Here is a 26589-nt window from a genome sequence, read left to right as displayed (position 1 = left end):
ATAATGTGTTAATAAGCCTGAAAACATCTTGTAGCAACAGATAATTGCTGAATGTGTTAAGCAAGGGAAGAATTTGCTCATACTTATATATTTACATCCTATAATATTAATAATGATACACACATGGTAAACAAAATACAGTACAAAAAAAGAAACTTATCGAAAAGTAAGTCTTCTCACATCAGGTCTCTAGTTCAACTGAGGATAAAACCTCTATGAATAGTTTCTTCTTCCAGCACTGTTCTGTCTGTATGCCTGTGTATAAGTGTATAGATTGCCTCTTTTAAAAAACACGCATCTAATATACAATGTATATTTTTCTGTATCATGATTTTACATTTCATAATATATACTGGGGATCTTTTTATTATATGTATCTAGTAGCACGGGAGATTTAATTTATTTCTTATTGAAGCCTAATATTTCATTGAATGGAGGCAGCAGAATAATTAATTATTCCATTTTCTTAAGGCAGAGACCTGTAGTTCTTCACCAAAATCCATTTTAATTTTCTTCCTCGGTATGTGGTTAGATTATATGTTTCTAAGCTTCTGGCTGATAAAGGCAGAAACAAGACTGTGTTTTTGCTAATGGAATACAGTGAAATGCTGTGTATCACTTCTGAAATTCGGCCTTAAGCCTGTGTATATGCCTACTTCATTCTCTCTTCCTTTTTCACACTGGCTGCACTATGGCTATGGTGGAGACCCCATTCAACCATGGAGATTATGAGATGTCCCAGGGAAACAGATGAACGGTATCTTGGGTCTTCAGATAACCAAAAGGAGTACAACTACTCCTTTTGCTAACCTAAACAGTTTGCCTTGAAACCTATGTGAGAGAGGAATAAATATCTATATTTTTTGAGCCAGTGAACATTCATTTGGTTTCTTTGTTATAGCAGCTTATCCTTTCCCTCACTAGTATATTTTCTATTACAAACAATACTGGAATGAACATTTTGTACCTACATATTTGCATACACAAATACCATTGGCTGGTATAAGGAGTGTCTTTTTTGATATACCTTAACTAGTGCTTGTTACAATTAATTTTTAAAATATTTGCTGATTACATAGGTAAAAATGACACAGCAACTTAAAAAAACTTTTAATTTCTTATCAGTGGGGCTAAATATGTTTTTATATGTTTATAAATAAGTTTATGTGGCCTCTGTTGGCAGAGACTAATGCTCAAAACATAATCATTTTTTGTAGTAGGTTATAGATATTTTTATATACGTAAATGTTTTACATATTTATTAAAAAATTGTCATTTTGTGGAATATTTTTCTGTTTGTCATTCATCTTTGACATTAGTCATTGAATATGTTTAGTGGATGAGTTTATAATAAAATTTTTATGAAGTTATATTTATTAATGGTGATGCTAAGGCTGACAATGGCCAGCATTTATTGAAGGCTTATAATTTGCTTATTCTTTTGATCTCTGAGGTTGTTTCATCACCCAACTGGTGATATGTACTTACACTGACATCTCTTATAGCTTAAAAAATAATATGACTCCTTTGAAATTTATTTTTTAATTTTGATTAAAAAATTTTTTTCCTAGACCTGGAAAGTAAGATCAAGAATAACATGACTCTTAAAACATCCATATGAATACTAAAGTCATCATAGGAGACTTTTCTCACTATATTTAGGCACAAAGTGTAGATCTTGGGAAACTCTTTTTTCATTTAGAAATAAATTAACATAAAAAGCAATCAATGCTCTAGTGCCAGTGAAAACTTCTGAAACATAAAATGAAGTCAGGATCATAACACTCAGGTAGTAAAGAGGAACATAACTATGAAAATGCTTACTATTGGAATAAAAAGTAAATTTTATATACTCTCTACTTTTTTTCTCTCAATAAATATGAATAAACATAATCTTCAAAATAAGGTATGAAAGCTGAGATGACCAAACTAGATTAGAAAAGTAGGGGTCTTGAAGAGTTCAGGAAAGAATTTGTAGCAACCAGTAATATAATGGCATAGTAAAATTTGAAACAGTAGGAAAGGTGAAAGTGAGACTGTCTGCAGAAAGGTAATCTGGTTATGTGTGGGTATGTTTGGGAAGCTTTCATGGAATGCACAGTAAAGGTACAATAAGTTGAAAATCATTAAAGAAATTCAGGAAGATATAAATGAATAATTGGATCCCGAAGAAGACTTCAGAATGACTATGGCATAAGCACTGTTCAAAAACAAGATAAGAGAGAGCTTCTGGGTTAAATGAAGAAAGAAGACCCAAATCTGTCGGTGGGGGAATCATCATGTGTCAGGTCGTGTGGTGAAAAGAGACATCTCTTTTCCTACCAGCATGTTAAAGTATCCTGTCAGAAGTTTACAGTACCAAAAATTATTGAATTCTCATAGTATGACTACAACTATTGTAATTCTTCAAAAGAGACTCTCCTCACCTTAAATAATCATAGATGATTATTTAGGAAATAAGCATGTTACATGTTAGTTATTTTAAAAGGTACAATATGTAAGAGTTACAAATATATACAATTAAATAAGTTCATATTCTTCACATGAATGTAGACATATGGAGGCATGTCTTGTAAACAGTTGAATGTATCCAAGTTTTCTGTATGTGAAAATGTAGTTAATGTACTCATTGTGGAGGTAATAAGAAAACTACTTTTAAAAAATAAGTGGAACTGAATTATAATATTACTTCCAGAATCAGAGAGGAAAAAAGGAAGGAGGGATATCAAAGCATATAGACAGGAAAATGGGTAAACTACAAAGAAAGAAATCTTAGATCTCTTCAAATTTCCCTTCCACAATATGAAACAATGTAAGACAAAGTTATAACCTACATATTTTTAAAGCAGACAAATTACCATTTATGATCAGAGAAAACAAAAGCATTGGGAAATATGGGAAATATGAGGCACAAAAATACTTGTGCTTGGAATAATTTAAACATGGCTGAGTTAAAATGACTAGTATAGATATAGTTTACAAAGAAAATTAACTCATCACAAATACTTAATGAAACAGATGACATATTGTTTAGAAAGGTTTTAACAATCACAAAAGTACCAAAAATTGTAGTAACAAAACACAAGTGGTATAGGGAAACAGTCCCCAGTCTTTTTGGCACCAGGGACCAGTTTCATGGAAGACAGTTTTTCCGTGGATTGAGGTAGAGGGGGGATGGTTTGAGGATGAAAGTGTTCCACCTCAGATTATCAGGTATTAGATTCTCATAAGGAGTGCACAACCTAGCGTCCTCGCATGCACAGTTCACAATACGGTTTGTGCTCCTTTGAGAATCTAATGCCACTGCTGATCTAGCAGGAGGCAGAGCTCAGGCGGTAATGCTCACTAGCCCGCCACTCACCTCCTGCTGTGTAGCCCGGTTCCTAACAGGCTACAGACCGGTACTAGTCCGTGGCCCAGGGGTTGGGGACCCCTGGTGAAAATGCTTACTATTAGAAAAGCAAGGGACTGAAAAAGGAAGTCAGGTTATGTGAATTTGCTCATTTTATATGGAGAAAAAGTAACAATGACTACAGCAATGGTATCAGTTACACTAGCATTTGAGTCTTTCTATGTGCCAGATACAGTTCATAGAACTTTACAGTTCTTTTAATCTTCTGATCCACACTATCTGGTAGGTCCTATCATTATTCTTACTTAGGATAGAAGAGGAAAAGGATGTGTTATTCTATTCTCAGTGCTAACTAATACTGTAGAGGTACATAGTTACAATAGTGTTAAATAGAATTTTAAAAGTAGCCATTAGTATATTTTACAAATTAGATTGTCTTCAGTTTATCAGGAAAAAAGTTCATATGGCAAAGAATAATTTAAAAAGAAAGCAAAAAAATAGCAAGGAGTATGATAATCTCCAGAAATAGAAAATAAAATGACAGAGGCAAAATCAAACATATGGCAGTTGTTGGGGCACAGAAACCTATGCCCCAAATATGGTGCTTTGACAGGCTGAGCTGAAGAAGCAGCCTTATGGTGTCTCGGGCCTTCCCCTGCTCCTGTCTCTCAATCCTCTGTGTTTTCCAAAGCACAGGATGAGGTTGTTTTCTGAAGTCCTCTTATCTGCCTAAAGTCTGGACCTGCCAAAGAAGAAAACAGTTCTTCTTCCCTGACCTGAACAGACTTTTGTTATAAACCATTGTCTGCTCTGAGGGTGGTCCAAAAAACTTTCTGTCAGGCCATTGTATGTTCTTCAAGCCCGTTGAATTCCCCTAAAAATCATGTGCTGCCCCCTTATGTCATCCACACTTCCTCATCTCCCTTTCTCCTAAGAAGAAGGGTGTATAACCATCTTTACCCCATTGTGTGGTGGTACAATCACTCTGTGATTCTCCCACACACACACTAACAAATTTGTATGCCATTTCTTCTACTCATTTGCCTTTTGTGTGTTGATTTTTCAGTGAACCTTTAGGGGGTGAAGGAGAGGTTTTTCCCTTTGCCTCTGCATAGTAAACGTTAATGGGTTATGTTCCAATTAAATAAATTTACAATGCAGTTTCAAAGAGCCACACTAAAGCCAAAATAACTCCTAAAGAACAAATAAGAGAATTAGGAAGGAGAATGACAAATGCTGAGAAAGAGGAGGGCTTTGCAGTATTAATATTAGATAGAATTGAATTTAAGTTAAAAGAAGTTAGTGAGACAGAGTCAAACTTAGTGGTGAATGGTACAATCCAAAATGAAGTTTAAACAATTATGTTATTGTGCACCAAATAACATGACATTAGACTATTGAAGATAATTTCTTTTTTTTTTTTTTTTTGAGTCGGAGTTTCACTCTCGTTGCCCAGGCTGGAGTGCAATGGCGCGATCTCGGCTCACTGCAACCTCCGCCTCTCAGGTTCAAGCCATTCTCCTGCCTCAGCCTCCCGGGTAGCTGGGAGTACAGGCATGCACCACCATGTCTGGCTAATTTTGTATTTTTAGTAGAGACAGGGTTTCTCCATGTTGGTCAGGGTGGCCTCCATCTCCCGACCTCAGGTGATCTGCCCGCCTCGGCCTCCCAAAGTGCTGGGATTACAGGCGTGAGCCACCACATCAGGTCAAAGATAAATATTTTAAACTATAAGAAGAAATAGAAAGAAATGAATCAGTAGTAAAATACTTTGATATCCTTCAATCCATGGTTAATCTCACACTGTAAAAGAAAGTATAAAATATATGAACAATTGAACTTATAATATTGATTTAATCGAGAGTATTAAGATTTTTACACTTCAGTAAATAAATTTTATTTTCAAGTGCCTAGGAAACACTCACCAAAAATTACCTTATGAGAAACCACAAAGGAATTCTCAATGAGTTCCTCAGAATAGATGATTAAACAAGCCACATTCTATTAGCACAGAACTGTGGAATCATTTAATAACCCAAAGGCAAACATTAAAACACCTAAACAACTGGAAATTAATCCTCACCTCTCATTAGCATGTATGCATGCACACACACATCCTCTTCTGTTTCAGGGTATTAAAAAATAGTTATGAAAATAATAAGTGTAAAAACTTTAAGAGATACAATCATAGTTGTATTTAAGAGTAACTTCAAAGCCATTAAAGAGTTCATTGTTACAAAGGAAATAGTGCATATTGATGAAGCAAGAAGCAACTAAAAAATTATAAAAAGAAAAACAAAGGAAGGCCTAAGAAATCAGGAGAGATACCGAAAAATCATAAAATAGATAAATCAAAGAACTAGTTTATTGAAAAAAATGTTAAAATAGAAAAATTTACTTAGTCTAATCAATAGGAAAAGAAAATATCCCACTAAAACAAAATTTAGAATAAGAAAGGTGGTATAACCACAAATGCAAATGATTTGAGAACCTTCACTCATATACTTGAATATTTGGCCTTAAAAAATAACCTCTCTAGGAAAATGTAAATTGCTAAAATTAATTTAAAAATGAAAGAATAGCTGATTAGCTTAAACATCAAAGAAAATATGGAAAATGATTTTTAAATAATTATCTGCAAAGGAATGGCTGGACTGGTTTTTTATGGGCAAGTTTCTCCAAAATGTTAAGGAACACATAAATTCTATAATACATAATCTGTCCCATAGCATAGATCCAATTCATCTTTTTTCAAACCTATACTATTCCCTTGCTGGAACCCGGTGAAGAGAATGTGAACAGAAATATAGAAACATCCACATTCTACAAACCAATTTCCTTTCTAAATACAAAGAGAAACTTTAAGTAAAATACTAGGAAACCAAATAAATATGTTTTTCAATTATATTCTGTGGTCAAATAGGGTTTATTCTAGGAACAAAGACTATTATTTACATTGTTCTGAGAACTCTGGCTGTAAACCGTAAAGCAAACAATAGAAAAATTTATATACGTGTGTGTGTGTTTGTGTGAGTGTTTGTGTGTGTATAAGTACACTGGACTGTAAGAAGAGTGAACATAAACTATGCTGATTCCCCTGAATCCATTCCTGGATGTGCTACATAGACAGGAAGAAGGTTGAAGGCTCCAAGGACACAGGAAAAGAGAGACACTACTAGGCCTTTGGGTTCCATTTATATGGGAAAAACATCTTAAACTTAGAAGAGAGCTGAGCACCATGGCATACACAGGGTATCATGTTTTAAGGAGGGCCCTTCCCTCTCCTACATGGCTTTAGGAAGTTCATTGCCTCCTACACTCTTGTCCATGCAGAGCATTTATGCAGCAATGCCAGTTTGGGGCACACTGGAGGCTGTGGGGCCGCAGAGAATCTTTGGATGCCTGGTGCCATGGGGGGCAGATATATCAGGAGTAGGCCAAAGACCTGCCCCAAAGTTCTCCCTGGCCAAAAAAAAGTGCCTAATGTGAAAATGCAGGGAAGTTTCCTGAAAAGCAGCATTACTTGGTTGGGTGATGGGGGTTATAAACAGGGAGTGGTTGAATCCAGGTAACAGTACCAGAGGAAGCCTGCTCTTTGGTGCATTACTCACTCCTCAAATAAGAGCAAGGGACATGCTCAATGGCTTGTGCTTTTGCTTCCCTGACCACATACAAATTACCAGCCAAGGCAGCAAATACTCCCAGGGGAATATAGCCCTCAGGAAAAAATAACATGGCATAGAGAAGACAATGATTGGGCCAGAATAGAATATAAACTTAATATATGCATAATACATATCCTAAAGAATTAAGGGGCAATGTCAGAGGCATGATGCAAGAATAAGCAATCTTTCACAGGGAACCGACTGGAGATGATGGGCATAAAAAATACAAGACTTGATATAAAGAGCCCAAGAGAAGGACTGAATAGCAGCAAGGATAACTTTGTGCAGATGATTAAAATGTTTTATTAAAGTGTATATAAAGAGACCTGAATAATAGGAAGGTATACCATGTTTATGAATGATATACCAGAGTGCAGTGGCAAGCTCATGGCTCACTGAAGCCTCAAACTCATGGGCTCAAGCAATCCTCCCACCTCAGCCTCCTAAGTAGCTGGGACTACAGGCATGTGCCACCATGGTTGGCTAATTTTAAGAAAAATTTTGGAGATACCATGTCTCACTATGTTTCCCAGGCTGGTCTTGAAGTCCTGGGCTCAAGTGATCCTCCCACACCAGCTTCCAGAGTAGCTAAGATTATAGGCATGAGCCACCATGCTTGGCCTGACTAACATTTTTAGTAAGTCAATTCTTTCCAAGTTACTATAAAAATTAAAAGTAATTCCCAAAGGATACTGAACAAATTAACATCTGCAATAAAAATTATATTACAGAATAAAGGAACCAGAATAAAGAGCCAACGTCCTATTTAGAAAGAGGAGCAAAGAGAGTAATAGCCCAACTAGATTTTAAGACATACTAGAAAGCCACAAGAATGTTAAAAATACATGATACTTATTTTTAATAAATAGATATTTATAAAATACCATATACAACCATATATATCAATGGAATTGAATGTAAACATAGAACTCCGAAACAGATGGGTGAGTGCATGTAGAATTTTGTGAATATCAGAATGGTTTAGGACAAATTGGATTCCTTCTTCTCCTTGTGTCACACACAAATTTACAGTTGAGTTAAATATCTAGGGCGGTTCCAAGATGGCCAAATAGGAACAGCTCCAATCTACAGCTCCCAACGTGAGCGACGCAGAAGATGGGTGATTTCTGCATTTCCAACTGAGGTACCGGGTTCCTCTCACTGGGGCTTGTCAGACAGTGGGTGCCGGACAGTGGGTGCAGTGCACCAACGGTGAGCCGAAGCAGGGGGTCAGGGAATTCCCTTTCATAGCCAAGCAAAGCTGTGACAGATGGCACCTGGAAAACTGGGTCACTCCCACCCCAATACTGTGCTTTTCCAATGGTCTTAGCAAACAGCACACCAGGAGATTATATCCCACGCCCACGGAGCCTTGCTCATTGCTAGCACAGCAGTCTGAGATTGAACTGCAAGGTGGCAACGAGGCTGGGGGAGGGGCGCCTGCCATTGCTGAGGCTTGAGTAGGTAAACATAGTGGCTGGGAAGCTGGAATGGGTGGAGCCCACCGCAGCTCAAGGAGGCCTGCCTGCCTCTGTAGACTCCACCTCTGGGGGCAGGGCATAGCTGAAAAAAAGGCAGCAGAAACCTCTGCAGACTTAAATGTCCCTGTCTGACAGCTTTGAAGAGAGTAGTGGTTCTCCCAGTACGCAGCTTGAGATCCGAGAACCGACAGACTGCCTCCTCAAGTGGGTCCCTGATCACCGAGTAGCCTATCTGGGAGGCACTCCCCAGTAGGGGCAGACTGACACCTCACACGGCTGGGCACCCCTGTGAGATGAAACCTCCAGAGGAATGATCAGACAGCAACATTTGCTGTTCAGCAATATTCGCTGTTCTGCAGCCTCCACTGCTGATACCTAGGCAAACAGGGTCTGGAGTGGACCTCTAGCAAACTCCAACAGACCTGCAGCTGAGGGTCCTGAGTGTTAAAAGGAAAACTAACAAACAGAAAGGACATCCACTCCAAAGCCCCATCTGTATGTCACCATCATCAAAGACCAAAGGTAGATAAAACCACAAAGATGGGGAAAAAACAGAACAGAAAAACTGAAAATTCTAAAAATCAGAGCACCTCTCCTCCTCCAAAGGAACGCAGCTCCTTACCAGCAACAGAACAAAGCTGGACAGAGAATGACGAGTTGAGAGAAGAGGGCTTCAGACGATCAAACTTCTCCGAGCTAAAGGAGAAAGTTCGAACCCATCGCAAAGAAGTTAAAAACCTTGAAAAAAGATTAGATGAATGGCTAACTAGAATAACCAATGCAGAGGAGTCCTTAAAGGACCTGATGGAGCTGAAAACCATGGCACGAGAACTACGTGATGCATGCACAAGCTTCAGTAGCCCATTCGATCAACTGGAAGAAAGGGTATCAGTGATGGAAGATCAAATGAATGAAATGAAGCGAGAAGATAAGTTTAGAGAAAAAAGAATAAAAAGAAACAAACAAATCCTCCGAGAAATATGGGACTATGTGAAAAGACCAAATCTACGTCTGATTGGTGTACCTGAAAGTGATGGGGAGAATTGAACCCAGTTGGAAAACACTCTGCAGGATATTATCCAGGAGAACTTCCCCAACCTAGCAAGGCAGGTCAACATTCAAATTCAGGAAATACAGAGAATGCCACAAAGATACTCCTTGAGAAGAGAAACTCCAAGACACATAATTGTCAGATTTACCAAAGTTGAAATGAAGGAAAAAATGTTAAGGGCAGCCAGAGAGAAAGGTCGGGTTACCCACAAAGGGTAGCCCATCAGACTAACAGCTGATCTCCTGGCAGAAACTCTACAAGCCAGAAGAGAGTGGGGGCCAATATTCAACATTCTTAAAGAAAAGAATTTTCAACCCAGAATTTCATATCCAGTCAAACTAAGCTTCATAAGTGAAAAAGAAATAAAATCCTTTACAGACAAGCAAATGCTGAGAGATTTTGTCACCACCAGCCCTGCCCTAAAAGAGCTCCTGAAGGAAGCATTAAACATGGAAAGGAGCAACTGGTACCAGCCACTGCAAAAGCATGCCAAATTGTAAAGACTATTGATGCTAGGAAGAAACTGCATCAACTAATGAGCAAAATAACCAGCTAACATCATAATGACAGGATCAAATTCACACATAACAATATTAACCTTAAATGTAAATGGGCTAAATGCTCCAATTAAAAGACACAGACTGGCAAATTGGATAAAGAGTCAAGACCCATCAGTGTGCTGTATTCGGGAAACCCATCTCACATGCAGAGACATACATAGGCTCAAAATAAAAGGATGCAGGAAGATCTACCAAGCAAATGGAAAACAAAAAAAAGCAGGGGTTGTAATCCTAGTCTCTGATAAAACAGACTTTAAACCAACAAAGATCAAAAGAGACAAAGAAGGCCATTACATAATGGTAAAGGGATCAATTCAACAGCAAGAGCTAACTATCCTAAATATATATGCACCCAATACAGGAACACCCAGATTCATAAAGTAAGTCCTTAGAGACCTACAAAGAGACCTAGACTCCCACACAATAATAATGGGAGACTTAACACCTCACTGTCAACATTAGACAGATCAATGAGACAGAAAGTTAACAAGGATATCCAGGAATTGAACTCAGCTCTGCACCAAGTGGACCTAATAGACATCTATAGAACCGTCCACCCCAAATCAACAGAATATACATTCGTCTCAGCACCACACTGCACCTATTCCAAAATTGACCACATAGTTGGAAGTAAAGCACTCCTCAGCAAATGTAAAAGAACAGAAATTATAACAAACTGTCTCTCAGACCACAGTGCAATCAAACTAGAACTCAGGATTAAGAAACTCACTCAAAACTGCTCAACTACATGGAAACTGAACAACCTGCTCCTGAATGACTACTGGGTACATAACGAAATGTATGCCTCACCACCCCAAATTTGTAAATTCCTTGTAGATTGGATTAAGTCTATTTAGAAAGAGGAGCAAAGATAGTGATATCCCAACCAGATTTTAAGACATACTGCAAAACCATAGGAATTAAAAAAATACGTAATATTTTAGGTAAAACCATATATATCAATGGAATTGAATCAAACATAGAGCCCTGAAACAGGTGAGTGAGTGTGTGTAGAATTTTGTGAGTATAAGAATGGTTTAGGATAATTGGATTCCTTTGTCTCTTCATGCCACACAGAAATTTACAGTTGAATTAAAAATCTAAATGTGAAAGAATAAAACTGACAAATGACAATGTAGAAGAATATCTTTGGCACTTTGTATGTTTCTTAAAGCAGTTCTCAGTCTTTTTTTCCCCCGAAAGGCTTTCTTTCCTCCCACTGCAGACTCTTTTAGTTGTATACCCAATTTCCAATTCCTACTTCTCTTTCCCTTTAAAAAAAAAACCTCTATTTTTCTTGGAACAGCAATGTATCCAGCTTTCCTTACAGCTAGAAATGGCCATGTGACAGTTTTGGCCAATGAAATGTACATCCAATGTAGATTTCTCGAGAGTTTTGCTTTCCTAATAAAAGAGAGAACATGATTGTCCCTCCCTTTCTTTCTTTCCTTCTTGTCCAGAACATAGGCGTAATGTCAAAAGCTACAGCAGCCCTCCTGCCATTTCAATGCAATAAGCAAGAGTACATAAACCAACCAGACAAGGTGGCTGAGCAAAGGAAGATCTTCATGACTTTGCTGAGTAGTTGAACTAAGACAGCCACTTCCCACCTCCAGACTTCTTGCTATGTAAGAAAAACAGACCCATATTTGCTTAAATTATTGTAAGTTAGGTTTTTCTGTCTGTTACTTTTAGTCAAAATTATCTTTAACTTGTACAGTTAATATATTTAACTGGTATAGCACATATATGCTATACTCCCATGGGCATATGTAGATTTTTGATAAATCCAAAATATTATTGTGAGAAGTTAAATCTGCAAAATTTTGAAATATCAGGAGACTGAGACTCAGAAAGGCCAAGTGACTGCCCCCAGTTACATGCTGATAGGAAGTGGTGGAGTCAGGAATTTAGGTTTCCTAAGACCTCAAAAGCCATGCTCGTGACCCACTCATATTGTCTCATGACAGGACATATGTGCTGCCTTCACAGCCTACAACCCTTGGTCTAATCTCCATTAGGGGACCTACAACCTGGGGACCTCTCATCATTGTCTCTTGAAGACCTCATCATGGAAGAACAGTCTCTCCTGGGCTTAGATGCTATGGTCTTAATTCCTATGGTGCAATTTGTTGGCAAAATACTCCCTGCCTTTCCTGAGCACTTCTTTTAAGAGTCAGTTTGGAACTTCTCCCACCAGCACTCTTTGATCCTGGTCATTTTCTCAAGCTGAGATGCAAATATATTCTGTGTGTTTGAGGAACATCAAGGAGTTGAGCTTCAATGACTGGAGCAGACTAGGAGAGGGAGAGGAGGAGGCAGAAGATACAGATAAAGTTACATATGCAGATTCTTGATAAGGACTCTAGATTTATTCTCAGTGTTATAGAACATCATTACTTGACTCTAAGAGACCTGACTATTAAAAAGATTTGTACTGACTTATGACTTATAGAAAGAACCAGCATTTCTATAGACAGAAGATGGCTTAGGCCAGGGGTATGGCAGTGGACATGGTAAGAAGTGGTATGTTCTGGAAATATTTTGAAGTTGTAGTCTACAGGATTTCTTAGTGGGTTGGATGTGGGGTTTGAGGAAAAGAGAGTAGCCAAGGATGAGTCCAGGTTTTTTGGTTTCTATAGTTGCCATTGGAGGGAGTGGCCATTTACTTAGATGATAGACAGTGTGAAGAAGCATGTCTGATACATGAAGGGGATAGATATTGGGCAGTTGCTTTTTATGGGTTAACTTTGTGTTGACTATTAGACATCCATGTGAAGATCTGGTATAAAGAGAGTTCAAATCCCGTAAATGTATAGTCCCAAACATCACACAAACTGATTGTATGAGCCAGAGGCCAGATGGCAAGGCACCAGATTGAACTAAGTGGATTATGAGACATATAATATTTGAAGATAAAGACAAAGATCAATCAGGAATTACAAACACCCTCAGATGTTAGTTTTTCAATTTCAATTTGCTGCTGAATACATCAATATGTTACCAAGAATATGGGTGTGTGTGTTTGGTTAATTGTCTCAGCCTGAGTAAATGTACTTATTTAATATAGACAGCAAAAAGAACGGATATCCTTTAAGCTTTTCTCCAAAACAAACAGAAAATATCCAAACACGCATATAAATACAGTCAGCATGTAGCACGGCAACCTGATCAATGGCAGTGGGCCCTGGGGAGCTGTTTGCCCAAAATGGTCAAGCTGCTGGGATCCAAATTTTGGTTCTGATTCTAATAGTTCTATTAGCCTCTTTGTTGAATGGAAAACGTAGGCTGTTGAGATAATTTAAAGAAAGAATCCTCATAAAGCTCTTAGCACAGAGTCTAGGCACAGTATCAACCCAATAAACATTAGTTAGCTATTATTACTTACATTCACAGAGCATGGGATATAGACACACATACCCACGAAACACATAACTTAACACTCGTGCACTGATAAGCATATGAGCAGGCGAACACACACTAGTAAATCTATATATATAGTAATATGTACACAAATACACAGAAAATGCGTTACATTTTCTTATTCCCTCACTTCCTGTCTCACCTGCCTTTGTAATGATAACATTTCTTTTTAATGCTTTTCAAGAATGGAAAGATTTTTCTTGTAAGAGCTGGCTGTTACTACTGATGCCTGCCATGGCTCACAGTGGGATGAATGACAAATTCAGCAAATCACTTTCTCTAAAAATAGGCCACTCCAGATGATCTTTGGCTTAGATTCTCATTTCCATACACCTTTAAAAGAAAATAAAAACTCCATTCTTGTAGAGACCTACTGCTAACCTATTCCAAGCAATATGACTTGATGAACATGAACAAATCTCCTCTCAAGGTCTGCAAAATGCCCTAGCTTTCCCTCATCTGTTTATTGGATTTACATAAATAGAAATATAAGGCTGACGGATTTCTCTAGACACTGCCAGTAGAATGTTCATTCTGTTTGGCTTTATGGAGCCACTTACCTGAAATATATTACCTTGATAATTTAATGCATGACTTGCCTCCTCTATTTTTCCCCAAGATGCACGTGGATGGATGGAGTGGATACAAGATATCTTCAAGTCAGTGTCACTGTGCAGAATCATTTGTGTTGCTCTCAGCACTACAGGCCAACTAAACTTTTGATGGACATGATTCCTCAAGAGTTCATTTGGTTTTCTGGGTCAAGAACCACTCAGTTCACGTCATCCATAGGGCTGGGATGCATGGTTATGGCAAAAATAAAACAACAACGAAAACAAGCAAACCTCACTGAGAATGCATTTTTATATTGGGAATATCGACTGTTGACCCAATGCTAATGGAGCCTGAGCATGAATTCTATTTACCTCCTTACAACCTTGTTAAGCATAAATCAACAAAATTCTGATTTGGACTACTCTGCTCCACTGATTTGGATTGGAAAGGGGCATTCAATCAAGCTTTTAATATCAACTCATTAACAGCTTCTCTCAAGTCTGTCACTGGCACACTTACTCTGTGTTTTCAAACTGGATAATGCTAAATCTGGAAGACTATAGAAAATATGTCAAACCCACGTTTATATACTTCTAGATGCTGTTCAGGAAAATCAGGGGCAATTGATTTTGCAAATTTCATGTTTGTGACCTTGACTTCAATCCTTTACCAGAGGCAGCTTCTGTCTACTTTGTTGCTGGTGTTATCATTATCATCATCATCATTAATGTTTCCCACTATATTATGTGAAGTAAGGGTACCACAATATTTTGCATAATTTTGCTGTGCTCTGTGGAGGGTATCACAATTAAAAATTGATACACCATCCACCCAATCATTTAGGTGTTTACAACTGGAGGTATATGAAACCAAGTTTCAACCTGGTCTAAACAATATTGTTTGATACAACAAGAGGTCTTAATGCAGAGAGACTCTAGGGACAGTTAGTTCAGCAGCAGAATGACATCACTAAGGACTCAGGTTCTCTCCATTCTTTTACTTTGCCTTCCTCATTCCAGCCTTAAATCTGGCTTCTCTCATGGTCAAACAATGGCTGCCTGTTTGCAACTATTCAGAAGCAGAAGAATGATGGCATTTTCTCTTGTATGTGTTCTAATCAGTCTAGAAAACCTTTTCCAGGAGCCTCACCATTAGATTTCCTTCAGGTCTCATCGGCCAGAATTGTAACAACCATGATTGCTTAAACCAATCAGGATTTGCATCTTTGATGTTTGGACTGAGAATATGGTAATATGGAGTAGAGTGGATATCAGAGCAATACTAGCATTTTATTAGAAAGGAAAAAGAGGAATAAGTGGCTTTGGGGTAGGCAAACAATAGGGTCTCCTAAACATACAGAGACCCCTGGTGGAGAATGACAATAACTGGGCTAGTGGTAGGAGTAGGAGGAGATGAGCAGAAAGAAGGGTATAAGAAGAGGAGGAAGAAGACAACAAAGACTTAAGGGAGCAGGAGTACATAGTCCCCTCCCCTAAAGTGTGGGCAGGGCCTATGGAGAGGATGGGATAGTAACTCCCTTGATTAGCTTACATCGTATGGGAAAAGTGATGGGATAGTCACTGTGATGATTGCTACGTTGTTATTGTATACAAGAGTCCACCCTGGCTGACTGGAGTGAGACTATCCTGTTGTCCTTGAAGAAGTAAGCTTCTAGGTTGTGAGAGGAGGGGGGCCATGTGGCAAGGGCCTACAGTGGCCTCTAGTTACTGAGCACATTCCTGGACTGTGGTTAACATGAAAACTGGGACCTCAGACATACAGCTGCAAGGAAGTGAATTCTTCCAACAAGCAGTGAACTTGGAAGAGGACTCCAAGCCTCAGATGAGATTGAAATCCTGACACCTCAATTCCCACCTCATAAGATACTAAGGGAGAATCCAGCTAACCTATACCCAGACTTGTAACAAACAAAAACTGTGAGATAACAACTTTGTGTTGCTTTAAGCTGCTAAATTGGTGGTGTTTTTGTTATATGGCAATAGAAAATTAATACACCCACTTTGGACTGTTGGATGAATGAGAAATAAACTTCTTCTTTGTGCTAAACCACTGAACTTTGGAGGTTAATAGCGTCTAGTGTTACCTTAGCTAAATACAATGTCATTAACAAAGTGGCTCATATAAAAGCATTAAAAGCCCCATCAAATGTGCAGTGACTGGTGCCTCTGGAAATCTTGCTTTGGAGACAATCTTCTGGGGCTGGCCCAAAGCATGGCTCTACCTGCTAATGAAATGGAATTCTGAATGGCTATGACAAATTAGTCATCATCCTTAAATTTTGGCACTTCTCATTTATGGGATCTGGCTTCTACCAATTAATTAGGATCTGGGCCAGAAATATAAAGCATGATACCTCTGAGATCCACCAGGATTGTCTGTCATATTTACGCAGCAGGAAAGGCCTTGTGTTTCTGGCAGGTGCTAAAGGTTTATCTATTTTTTTTTGGTTTGTTTGTTTCTTGTTTTGTTTTGATAAGACAAGCACTACTAACATCTGGCCTACTCATAAAGGGAAGACGGACATAATTCAGCCTTTTTCAGCCTTAAAGTAAAACATAACTTTTTGAATAGACCTACTGGCTCCCACTTAAGTGAACATATAGTATGTGCCAGGTAATGTGCTATTAGTCTACATACGCTTTTCCATTTAATGTTTACTACAACCCTAGAAAGGAAGTAATAGGTCTCATTTTGTTGATGAGGAACGTGAATTTAGAGCGGTTAATCCATTTGCCCAAGATCATACCTTTTGAGTGGCAGAGCCAAGAATGAAACCCAAGTCCATGTGATTCATTCATCCATACATTAATTCATTGATTATTCCTCTAAAACTTAATTTCCAGGCAATAGTGAATATTGTGTAAGATAATAGAGCAGGAGTTGGTAAACTTTTTCTGTAAAGTGCTAGCCAGTAACTGTTTCAGGCTTTCAGGTCAACATAGTCTGTCACTACTACTCAACTCTGCATTATAATATGAAAATAACCATAAACAATGTGTGAATGAATGAACATGGCTGTGTTTCAATGAAAGTTTATTTACAAAACAGGCAGTGGGCTGGATTTCTCCTGCAGACTGTAGCTTGCTCAGCTCTGGTCTAGAGGGAAGACTGACACATTATAACACATGCTGGTAAGTGCAGAGAACGGTCACGCAGCGGGAGCTGTGGTGCACAGCCCAGATCACCAGCCTTATTCCCTTGCTGTTGAAGCATTGTTGGCTGCAGGTTCGCAGTGAATGGGGCAGCCTCAATCAAGACCATGTCCTTTCCTTGGAGGCACAGCTGGTAGATGTGAGAGTATAGGCCCCATGCTCTTTTGCCAATTTGGAACAACTCTGATGGACCACTCCAGCTTCAGAGCTCCTCATGCAATAGACCAAGGCCTTTGCTGTAACTGCACTGCAGTTTAACATCTCCCTTAGCCCATTCTCACTTTCCCTGGTGTCTTCCAGGGCCTGTTCCCAAAAGTGCCTCTCAGAAACTACCTGCATGTGATTCTCCATCTCAGAGTCTGTGCAGCGAAGCAGACCTAAGCAGGCCATTTAACCCAGGCTGCTGGGTGGGGAGGGGGCTGAGGGTTGAAGAGAAAGGTTTCCTGATCAAAGTTGTGTCTTAAAGCACTACTGGGACCATGCTAATAGAGGGGGCAAGAAGTAGGGGAAATACGAAACAGTCTTCTGGTCAGAAGGAAGAGATCTGCTAGTTGTTGTGGCTCATGCGTATAATCCCAGAACTTTGGGAGGCTGAGGCATGAGAATTGCTTGAATCCAGGAGTTCAAGACCATCCTGGGCAACAAAGTGAGACCCCATCTCTACAAAATAAAAACTAAAAAGCAGTCGGGCATGGTGGCATGCGCCTGTAGTCCCAGCTACTTGGGAGGCTGAAGCAGTAATTGCTTGAGCCCAGGCATTTGGAGGCTGCAGTGCGCTATAATCATGTTACTGCACTCCAACCTGGATGACAGAGCAAAACTCTTGTCTCTAAAAGAAGAAAGAAGAGATCTGGTTAGAAGGGCAAAGAAATGGAAGCAAGAAACACATGATGGATTCAGTAGTTCACAGTTGCTGAACTGTCATGTGTGGCTGGGGATTTAGCTATATCATATATGGAGCTGACGGGGAGGCAAGGGTTAGATCATGCAGGGTCTTTAAATAGCGATCAGTTGTGTATCTGGGGATGGAGTAACTGCCAAGCGACAGCCCTAGATGATGAAGGAGATCCTTCTCCACCTTCCTACCATAAAATTGGAGGTACAGTGCTGGGAGAAGCTTTCACTGGGGAGGGCTGCAGGAAGCTGTGTGTCTTCGGGAACTCCTGGCCTCAGTGACTCATCAGACAGAGAAGCTGTGAACACCCTCATAATACAAGGGAGCATGATTATCACAGCTCAAGGTTTCAGAGCACATGGTGGAGGGTTGGAACACTTGGGGAGTGTGGCACAGTAAGTCAGGGGTAGCAAGCTCAGGTAGGAATGGAGATAAAGCTGAAGAGAGAATTGGTGGCTGAGGGGTTTGCATTCGGGTTTAAGCATGGGTGGCCCCAAGGTGAGGCCAGCAGCTTGGTGCAAGCCTCCTTCTTCATTGAGGGCGACCCTGCTGGCACAGGGATCTCCTGAAGCTCAACTACAACCTGAAAACACTGTCCTTTCCTATTTCATAGTTTTAAAGTAAACAAGAATCGTATGATATTTTAAATTTTTCAGATAATATATTAGGATGGCACAAAAGTAATGTGGTTTTGCCATTTAAAGTGATGACAAAAACTACAATTACTTTTGCACCAACCTAATAGATGCATTTATAATAAAGAATATATAATAGCTGTATATTATATAATTTATAATATCATCAATCTTTGTATTCTATACACAAACAATTGGTAACAGTTTGGTGCGTATAATTCCAGAAACATTTCTGTGAACTTACTAACATATATTTACTTTTATTTAAAAACATCTATCATCTATTTACCAATTTTTATATATTTTTTACATGAATGTGTACACATGTTGTTTTGTGACTTTCTTTGTTCATGTCAGATTATAGGCATATTCATAACAAATTTTAATAATATTTTTCCATGCTGTGGGATATAGTATATTGTACTTAATCATTATAATTATGATACTGATAGAAATTTGAGGCCTTACTAATTTTTGCTGTTATAAATACTGCTGCATGAACATTATCATACATATGAGTATTTATATACATGAGCATAATATGATGTAAACTAAGATTTGTGGGTGCTATTATCAGCTGGTAATTGTGCTAAGTGCTTTGCATGTATTATCTCATTTAATTCTCACAATTACCCTTTGAAATAGGTTTCATTATGATCCCAATACTACACGGGAAGAGAATGTGCCTTAGAAAGTTTAAGTAATCTGCCATTAATTTCCTCAGAAGAATGGTAGACTGAATTTGTCAATTTGCATTTTAAAAAAGACTTGTTGGTATATGATTGGAATCAACTTGAGCTTACATATTTATTTAGGGTGATTGACATCTTTACAATATTGAGTCTTCTCATCTAAATGTCATGTTTTTCCATTTGTTTAGATCTCCTTATTTGTTTTTCCATAATGCTTGCATGTTTTTTCACATAGGACCTACATATTTCTTGTTAGAGATATTCATAGGTGTGTCATAGGTATTGTTGGTGTAAAGGAATTTAATGGAATTTGTGTTTTGTATTTTGAGCTTGTAGCATACAGAGTTGTGTTACAAGATAAAATATAAAATACCTTTCAAGTCAGAGTCACTGTGCAAAATTGCTTTGTTAGTGCTTTATCCAGGATTTAATTTCTATCTATGCTCTTTTGGGAGACATGTTGATGACTTGTTTTTTTCAGAGTCATTCAAATGACTCAGTATTGGATTCCAGATTCCAGAATGAATAGACTTTCTGCTCAGAATCTGAAACCATGGCACCCTTGACTTTTACTCTCAGTTTGATGCCCCTCTGAGTTTCATCATGATAAGGTCACCTGTTTCTTAATTTCTGGAAATATTAAGGATTTTATCTATTTTTGTAGTTTATAAATGTCACATGATTTTACTAATTGTGTATGCAGAATTCTTTCCATTTTATTTTTCATTTTTTCACATATCATTTTTACATTTTTTGCTTTTACTGTGTGGCACTTCTATTTTACTTTCATTGCTCATTCCTTATTGAGTCCTTTCAATTTGAACATATAACTTTTTTTCTACTGAATTTTTAAAATTTTTTTCTATTAAAAAATTTTCCACTAAAATGGAGGTGAAGAGATAATTAAAAATAAAAATAGAAGAAAATTGAGAATTAAAAAAAAACAAACTGTTTTTTTCCCAGTGGAGATGACTGACTGGTTGACCTGTGTCAACTTTCAATATTTCAAGACCTTTCTTTTATTAATTATCTGTCGTTTGTTCTATGTATTGGGAGATTTTCCAACTTTATCTTTCATTTATCTGATTCAGTCTTCAGAATTGTTCATTCTATTTTTCAGGCCTTGCATTGATTGTTTTTAAATTACTTATTGTAACTGACAAAAAAATTAGACAGAAATCTGATTTTTCCAAAAAATTCATTCCTAGGCATTGATTGTACCTTTTTAAAAGAAATAAAAAACAGTTCCTTTGAAATGGTCACAATACTTCTTGAATCTCTCTGAAGATATCAATTAGAAAGTTTTCAAGGCTAGCCATAATCCTTGTGTTACGTCTTATTTCTCTGGGTTAGCTGTTTGGTTTGTGCACAGTGGTCCTTTTGGTTTATGCTTTAGTTGTCTGTTCATATTTAAGGGTGAATAACTAGCTTGATCATATGGGTAGCTAGAATGAGTTTCCTCTGCAGATAAGACTCTGAGTAGATAATTCCCCTGAATCCATCTGAGGTGGGAAGACGGACAGGCCAACTTTGCTTTAGGATACGTGGGTGGGATCAAGCAGGCAGGATGGAGACTCCCACAAATGCCAATGTATGGAGGCTTTTACTCTGGAATTTGAATGTTTTCATTTATACTCCTTCTTATTATTCCTGTATAGAGCTGCCTTCTGTTTATTATTATTATTTTCTTGCAGTTTACAACTTTTGAAGTCTAGAATTATCTTGGACTCTGTTCCCTTGCCTAGCCCTTAAATCCATTTTGGGTGACTTCCTAGGCTAATGTTAGATGTTGTTTAGACAGAAATCTTGAGCCTTTAGCATTGAGCAAGTTAACTAAGTGCTGTAAGCTTCTAGCTCTGCATCTGTAGAGTGGGCACAAAACCAAGGCTTCTTTGAGAGGGTTGTTGTGATGATTAAACAGAATAATGCATACAAGATCGTATGTAGTAACTGTCCAGCACATGCTCACCTTCCTTCTTCCTCACCGCCCTCTTTCTCCCCATCTTCTTCCTCGCTCTTCCCTTCCCTTTTCCCTTCCTTCCTTCTTCTTCCCCTCCATGTCTTGTTTCTACTTTTATTATTATCATTATACCAGGATTTGGACCATTTTCTAATTATCTTATTCATTACATTATTCACTCTTTCTTTGGCTTTGTAGGGAATAGAAGTTAAAAACATATGTAAGAGCTTTTCCTACAAGCCAATACTGCTTCAGGAATATGAATGTGGAAAAGTTTAAAACAAAAACAAACAAACAAACAAACAGGGACTTAGAGTCAGAAATGAATCTCAGTGTAGACATATCAGGCATGTGACCATGGGCAAGCGGCTTTACTTTTCTCAGCCTCCACCTCTATAGTTTTGTCATCTGTGAAATGAGACTAAATAAAATGATGTACCTAAATCACCTTGCACAGCAAGTCCAAGTGAAATGTCCATCCCCTTTCCCCTTCCCTTTCTCTTGTTCTGCCAAACTGTGCCATGATGATCATGCTGCAGACCTGCTTCGTGGATGAGATCTGTGTGTGGGTACATGGGGCCCAGCACTTAGATGGACCCCAAGTTTGGTTTAGTGCTTTTTGCTATTGCTGTCTTGAATTTCTTCAAAATGTTTGAGCAAGGAGCTCCGATTTCCCTTTGCACTGGGCCCCGCAAATTATATATCTGGCTCTGCCTTCTGTGATTCAATTCATTAAACAATTCATATTTCTGTCTTGCTAGTAGACAGGGAGGAAGCAGGTTCCCAGGTGCCCAAGGACAGCAGCTGGGGAATCCTGTCTATGGCTGCAGCTCTTCCAGTGTGATTTCTACCCAAGTTCCTAAAGCAGCCAGTGCGGGCTTCCTTGGGTTCCCTGCAGCATTTCTAACTATAGTTCCAATTTGACACACTGGTTATTTTCTATCGAGGTCCTTAAGGTAGCTTTCTGCAAGGTTTTGGAAATAAAGCAACTCATTGCCTTTTTGTTAATGACTTTTAAAAGAATGAGCATTTTACTGAGCATAAGAAACCCTCTAAGAATATACTGGAAAAGGCAGGCTCATGCTGTGGATGAACAAGAGTGTGTCCTTCAATGTGAAATCCCTGCCAAGGAAATGCATAGCTGGGAGGTTCCCTTTGCCTCTTTCATGACCTGGCTGACCATCTGTTCCTTTATTTCCAGAAGGAATGGAGACTCTTTTCCACAAAAAGTGACTCCAAAATGTAAACATAGGTACATTTTTAGAGGCTTGACTCCTGAGTAGTTTCAAAATAAACACAAAACATTATAGGGAGGTTTCAGTGAGCTAATCTCAGCCATATGAAGCCGACATCCTTTGCCTTCTTTAACCAAGTCCACAGCTGGGGAAGAAGGGATGGTGTATGAAAGGTTGGACTAACCCATTATGGTCCTGGCACTTTCCTCCTTGCTACATGAATTAATTCTGGCCATCCATGGAGTGACAGAGGCTATAATCGGAGCCCTTTCATATGAAGGGAATATCTACAGACAAGCCTGGGTCAAGAGAACACTTGCACGTAATTATGGTCAAAGCAATAAACAAATAGGATGGATATCACAGGCACTCAGAGTAGGTATTTACTTCTATGGCAGTGGTGCTCAAAGTCTGGTCTCTGTATTACTAGCACGAGCATCAGCAGAAACTTGTCAGAACTGCAAAATCTCAGCTCTCTCCCAGTACCTACCAGATCAGAAACTCTGGGGATGAAGTCCAATAATCTGTGTTTCAATTGGCCCTCTAGGTGATTCTGATGCACTTCAGTTTGCAGCCAACTGCTCTATAACATTCTTGAAGGTCATTATAGAATGTCCCAACCCAGCGTATAGGTCTAAATATTCTGTCTTGTGGATTTTGCTTGTAGTATGTGTGTGTTATTGCGAGAATAATTCAAGCTCTGTGAGCCTCAGTTCCCTCAACCCTAAAATCATGGGGTTATCTGTGATGATTTCAAATGTTCCTTTACATTATATTTTCAGTGAAATGAGATTCAGAATGCTCCATTAAGGCTCTCGAATAGTTATATAACACGTGGACAAATGACCATTTGACAGTAGCTGAGCAGCAAGTGCTGTGTGTCTATTTATATATTTCTATCTCTGTATCTATCCATTTATCTCTCTATTATCTATCTGAATCTGAAACATAGTAGCCCAGGTTTGGGAGTCAGGTGACCTGAATTTGACAACGAACTACTTATCCTGTGTGAAACTGAGAAACTCGCAGGGGATGAGACATTGAAAGCAAAGTGTTTAGTGCTGGGTCTTGAGCAGGAAAGCTTCCACAGGTCACTCACTATTACTTTACTGCTTGTACCTCTTTCGACCGGGGCATCAACCCACCCCCTTTTAAGTACTTTAATCCTTTCTTTCCATTTATTAATTTCCTTCAGTGTTTTCCAAAGCACTTGCACATGAGTGCCTCCATTTTGCCTGGGGCTGCCTAAGTCGTAGAATTAGCAGTGGCTGGTCAAAGCTGGCTTAACCTTGAGGCACAATCCAGGTTGACTCCAGATCTGGGCTTTGATTTATCTATGACTTCAGTGTCAGTTGGGAGACCATTTTAAAAAACTGAATGTATATGAGTCAATTTAATTGAAATTTTTCCAAGATTCTCGAGTAAGTTACCCTAGAGCCATGGTTTTTTAATAAATTGAGTTATTTTAGATTGAAGGATGGCCATATGAGGGGACAAGATCACTAAGGCTGTCTTAGGAGAGCAGGGCAGCTGGGCCACCTGTCCTCCATCACTCAGCACTTTAAATTGGCCAAATGAAATCTTGCCAAGTGCTATCCCTCCCCTCCAAATGGTGTTTTCTGAGAGGAAACACCCTCCCTGAAAATCTATAGTTCACACTTTCTGCTATGTTACTCAGTGTCGTGCTAGGGGTAACCACCCAGTTCCTAGGGCCAAAAGCCCTTATAGACTTATGTCAGGTGTCTATCAACCCATTGTCAAATGCAGCACTCTTCTTTTGAAGCAAAAATTGTAATAAAATTCCGAATATTGGAGCATGGAAAAGGGAAACGACTGCTCTGGCTAAAGAGGCACAGACAGGAACCCACTGTAGAGGGTGCTGTGGGTGCCCAATCCAGACCCTCCCTGTTGGGGCCCTTGCCCTGTCTCCCAGTGGCTTTGGCAGGCAGATCTCTCTTCCTTTAGAGAATCACCCTCAACTAATGGGAACTGTCCCCTTTGGGAGATTGTACTCCCCTCCCTCTTCCATTTCTAGAGCCAAAGACTAGCTGACACAAAGTTAAAAAAAAAGTCCTGCCATATTTCCTTAAGGGAGGGGCAACTCTGGTGCACTCTGTACCCCATGTGGGTCAGGCCAAGGTAAGACTTCACGTGAGACCACATTCTTGTTCAGCCCTCTCTCCTGCTGTATCCTACCTAGGGTTTTCTCCTGACAGCACACCTTCCATGAATTATATGCTTCTGAACCTCAGGCTCTGCTTTTTAGAGACCTCAACTAGAGGTGAGGAATAAGGGATGATAGAAAATCTGAACTCAATACCTTCCACAGCAACAGCAACCTGTATGTCAGAAGGAGGCTCCTTCAAGTCAGATGATATGATCTGATGGGTGACTGTTTTCTTCCCTCCCTCCCTTCCTTCTCTCTTTTCTTTCTTTCTCTCTTTCTTTCTTTCTTTCTTTTCTTTCTTTCTTTCTTTCCTTCCTTCCTTCCTTTCTTTCTCTTTCTTTCTTTCTTTCTCTCTCTTTTTCTCTTCCTTCCCTCCTTCCTTTCTTCCTTCCTTCCTTCCTTCCTTCCTTCCTTCCTTCCTTCCCTCTCTCTTTCTCTTTACCTCTCTTTCTTTCTTTCTCTCTCTTTCTTTTTCTCTTCCTTCCCTCCTTCCTTTCTTCCTTCCCTCCTTCCTTCCTTCCTTCCTTCCTTCCTTCCTTCCTTCCTTCCTTCCTTCCTTCCTTCCTTCCCTCTCTCTTTCTCTTTACCTCTCTTTCTTTCTTTCTCTCTTTCTTTTCTTTCTTTCTTTCTTTCTTTCTTTCTTTCTTTCTTTCTTTCTTTCTTGCTTTCTTTCTTTCTTTCTTTCTTTTTTAACATACCTTCATAGATGGCAGTAAAATAGTCTTACTACAAAGCTCATAAACTGGCAGGTAACATTTTAGTCTGACCATCAGGGGATGAGGTCAAATTGCTGCTCTCTTCATGAGCTTCCTTCTGTTTCACAGCTGCTGCCCAGAGTCTGGGAACCAGATGCACGGGCTCAGAGAGCTAGATTCAGGCTCTTCATTTAGCTGTCCAACCAGGCTATGGACAAACTTACCAGTGAAGGTCCAATTGAGAGCCAGGAAAGATCCTGCCATGGAGCTAGATGGCTTGGCATTTTGCTCTTGGCTCCTCAGACACAAGTTTTAAATATCTCCCATCATCAACACTATAATGTATTACAAATTGAGCTTAGGTTTTTTTTTTTTTGCTGCCTGCTGCATGCAAAAGTCATCCTATCGGCAATCTATGAAATAAACTTTGCCAAAATAATCCTAACCACAAGAACGAACAAAGAAATAACATATGAAACAACTTATATTGCTTTTTCAGACAAGCTCATAAAATCCTTGAAATTCTAAGAGCACTTGGGTGATCCAAAGTGGATTGAAGTTATTCCTCCTGGAAGGAAGATTTTTCACAATGATTAAATATCTGCACAATTTGGAGGCTTCAGTAGTCTGAGTGGTGGTCTGACATGAGGCCTCTTGATTTTACATCATGTTCTTTCTTGTATTCATGGGAAGAAGCATAAACTGTATGCTTTATTTTTGTAAACTGGATTTTTCTTCTTTTGCTATTTTTTTGGTCTCATGCAACATATTCATGACACATTTATTTTGATCATTTTCACTTACAGTATATATAACTGAATAGAAGAGATAGTGCCCAATATGGCAGCTTAAAAAGATCCACTCAGATATTTACAATAATGAAATCTTATATTTGAGAATTTATTTCTTCAATGTTAATTAGAAGGTCAGATCCATCGAAAATAATGACCAGTAAACTGATCAACACATTAAGCAACCAGCAAAAATGTATTAATTAAATAAGTCAGTACCAGCAACTTTAGCTTAATTGATTTGTCTTCTAAACAAGAG

General features: G+C 38.8%; 1 protein-coding gene and 1 long non-coding RNA gene across 9 annotated transcripts in view, besides 1 other annotated feature; one reads left to right on the top strand and one right to left on the bottom strand.

Moving 5' to 3' along the window:
- LOC124906227 (uncharacterized) overlaps positions 1-26589 on the top strand; it is a 119636-nt gene that overhangs the window by 30550 nt on the left and 62497 nt on the right. The gene's annotated exons all lie outside the window — the stretch shown is intronic.
- STAC (SH3 and cysteine rich domain) overlaps positions 1-26589 on the bottom strand; it is a 167504-nt gene that overhangs the window by 124180 nt on the left and 16735 nt on the right. For 2 of the 8 annotated variants that reach the window (XR_940496.3, XM_047448767.1), the window contains exon 2: positions 14093-14326. The exons of 5 other annotated variants lie outside the window; for them this stretch is intronic. Coding sequence is in view for 1 of the 3 variants with exons in the window: in XM_047448767.1 (XP_047304723.1) it covers positions 14093-14215 (123 nt within the window). In the remaining 2 variants the exon portion in view is untranslated. Of the gene's footprint in view, positions 1-14092; positions 14327-26589 lie in introns of those variants that run through there. One more of the 8 variants, XM_047448769.1, reaches the window with a different exon arrangement.
- Positions 24809-25309: an enhancer, noted in NCBI's record as "H3K27ac hESC enhancer chr3:36440011-36440511 (GRCh37/hg19 assembly coordinates)". NCBI's record gives its function as "activates a minimal SCP1, AML or CMV promoter by ChIP-STARR-seq in naive H9 embryonic stem cells {active_cell/tissue: H9 hESC(naive)}" and the evidence as "EXISTENCE:reporter gene assay evidence [ECO:0000049][PMID:30033119]".

Source organism: Homo sapiens, chromosome 3, assembly GCF_000001405.40.
Source record: "Homo sapiens chromosome 3, GRCh38.p14 Primary Assembly".
Classification (NCBI taxonomy): domain Eukaryota; kingdom Metazoa; phylum Chordata; class Mammalia; order Primates; family Hominidae; genus Homo; species Homo sapiens.
The sequence above is the reverse complement of the archived record's forward strand: the minus strand, read 5'-3'. Positions and strand labels throughout refer to the sequence as shown.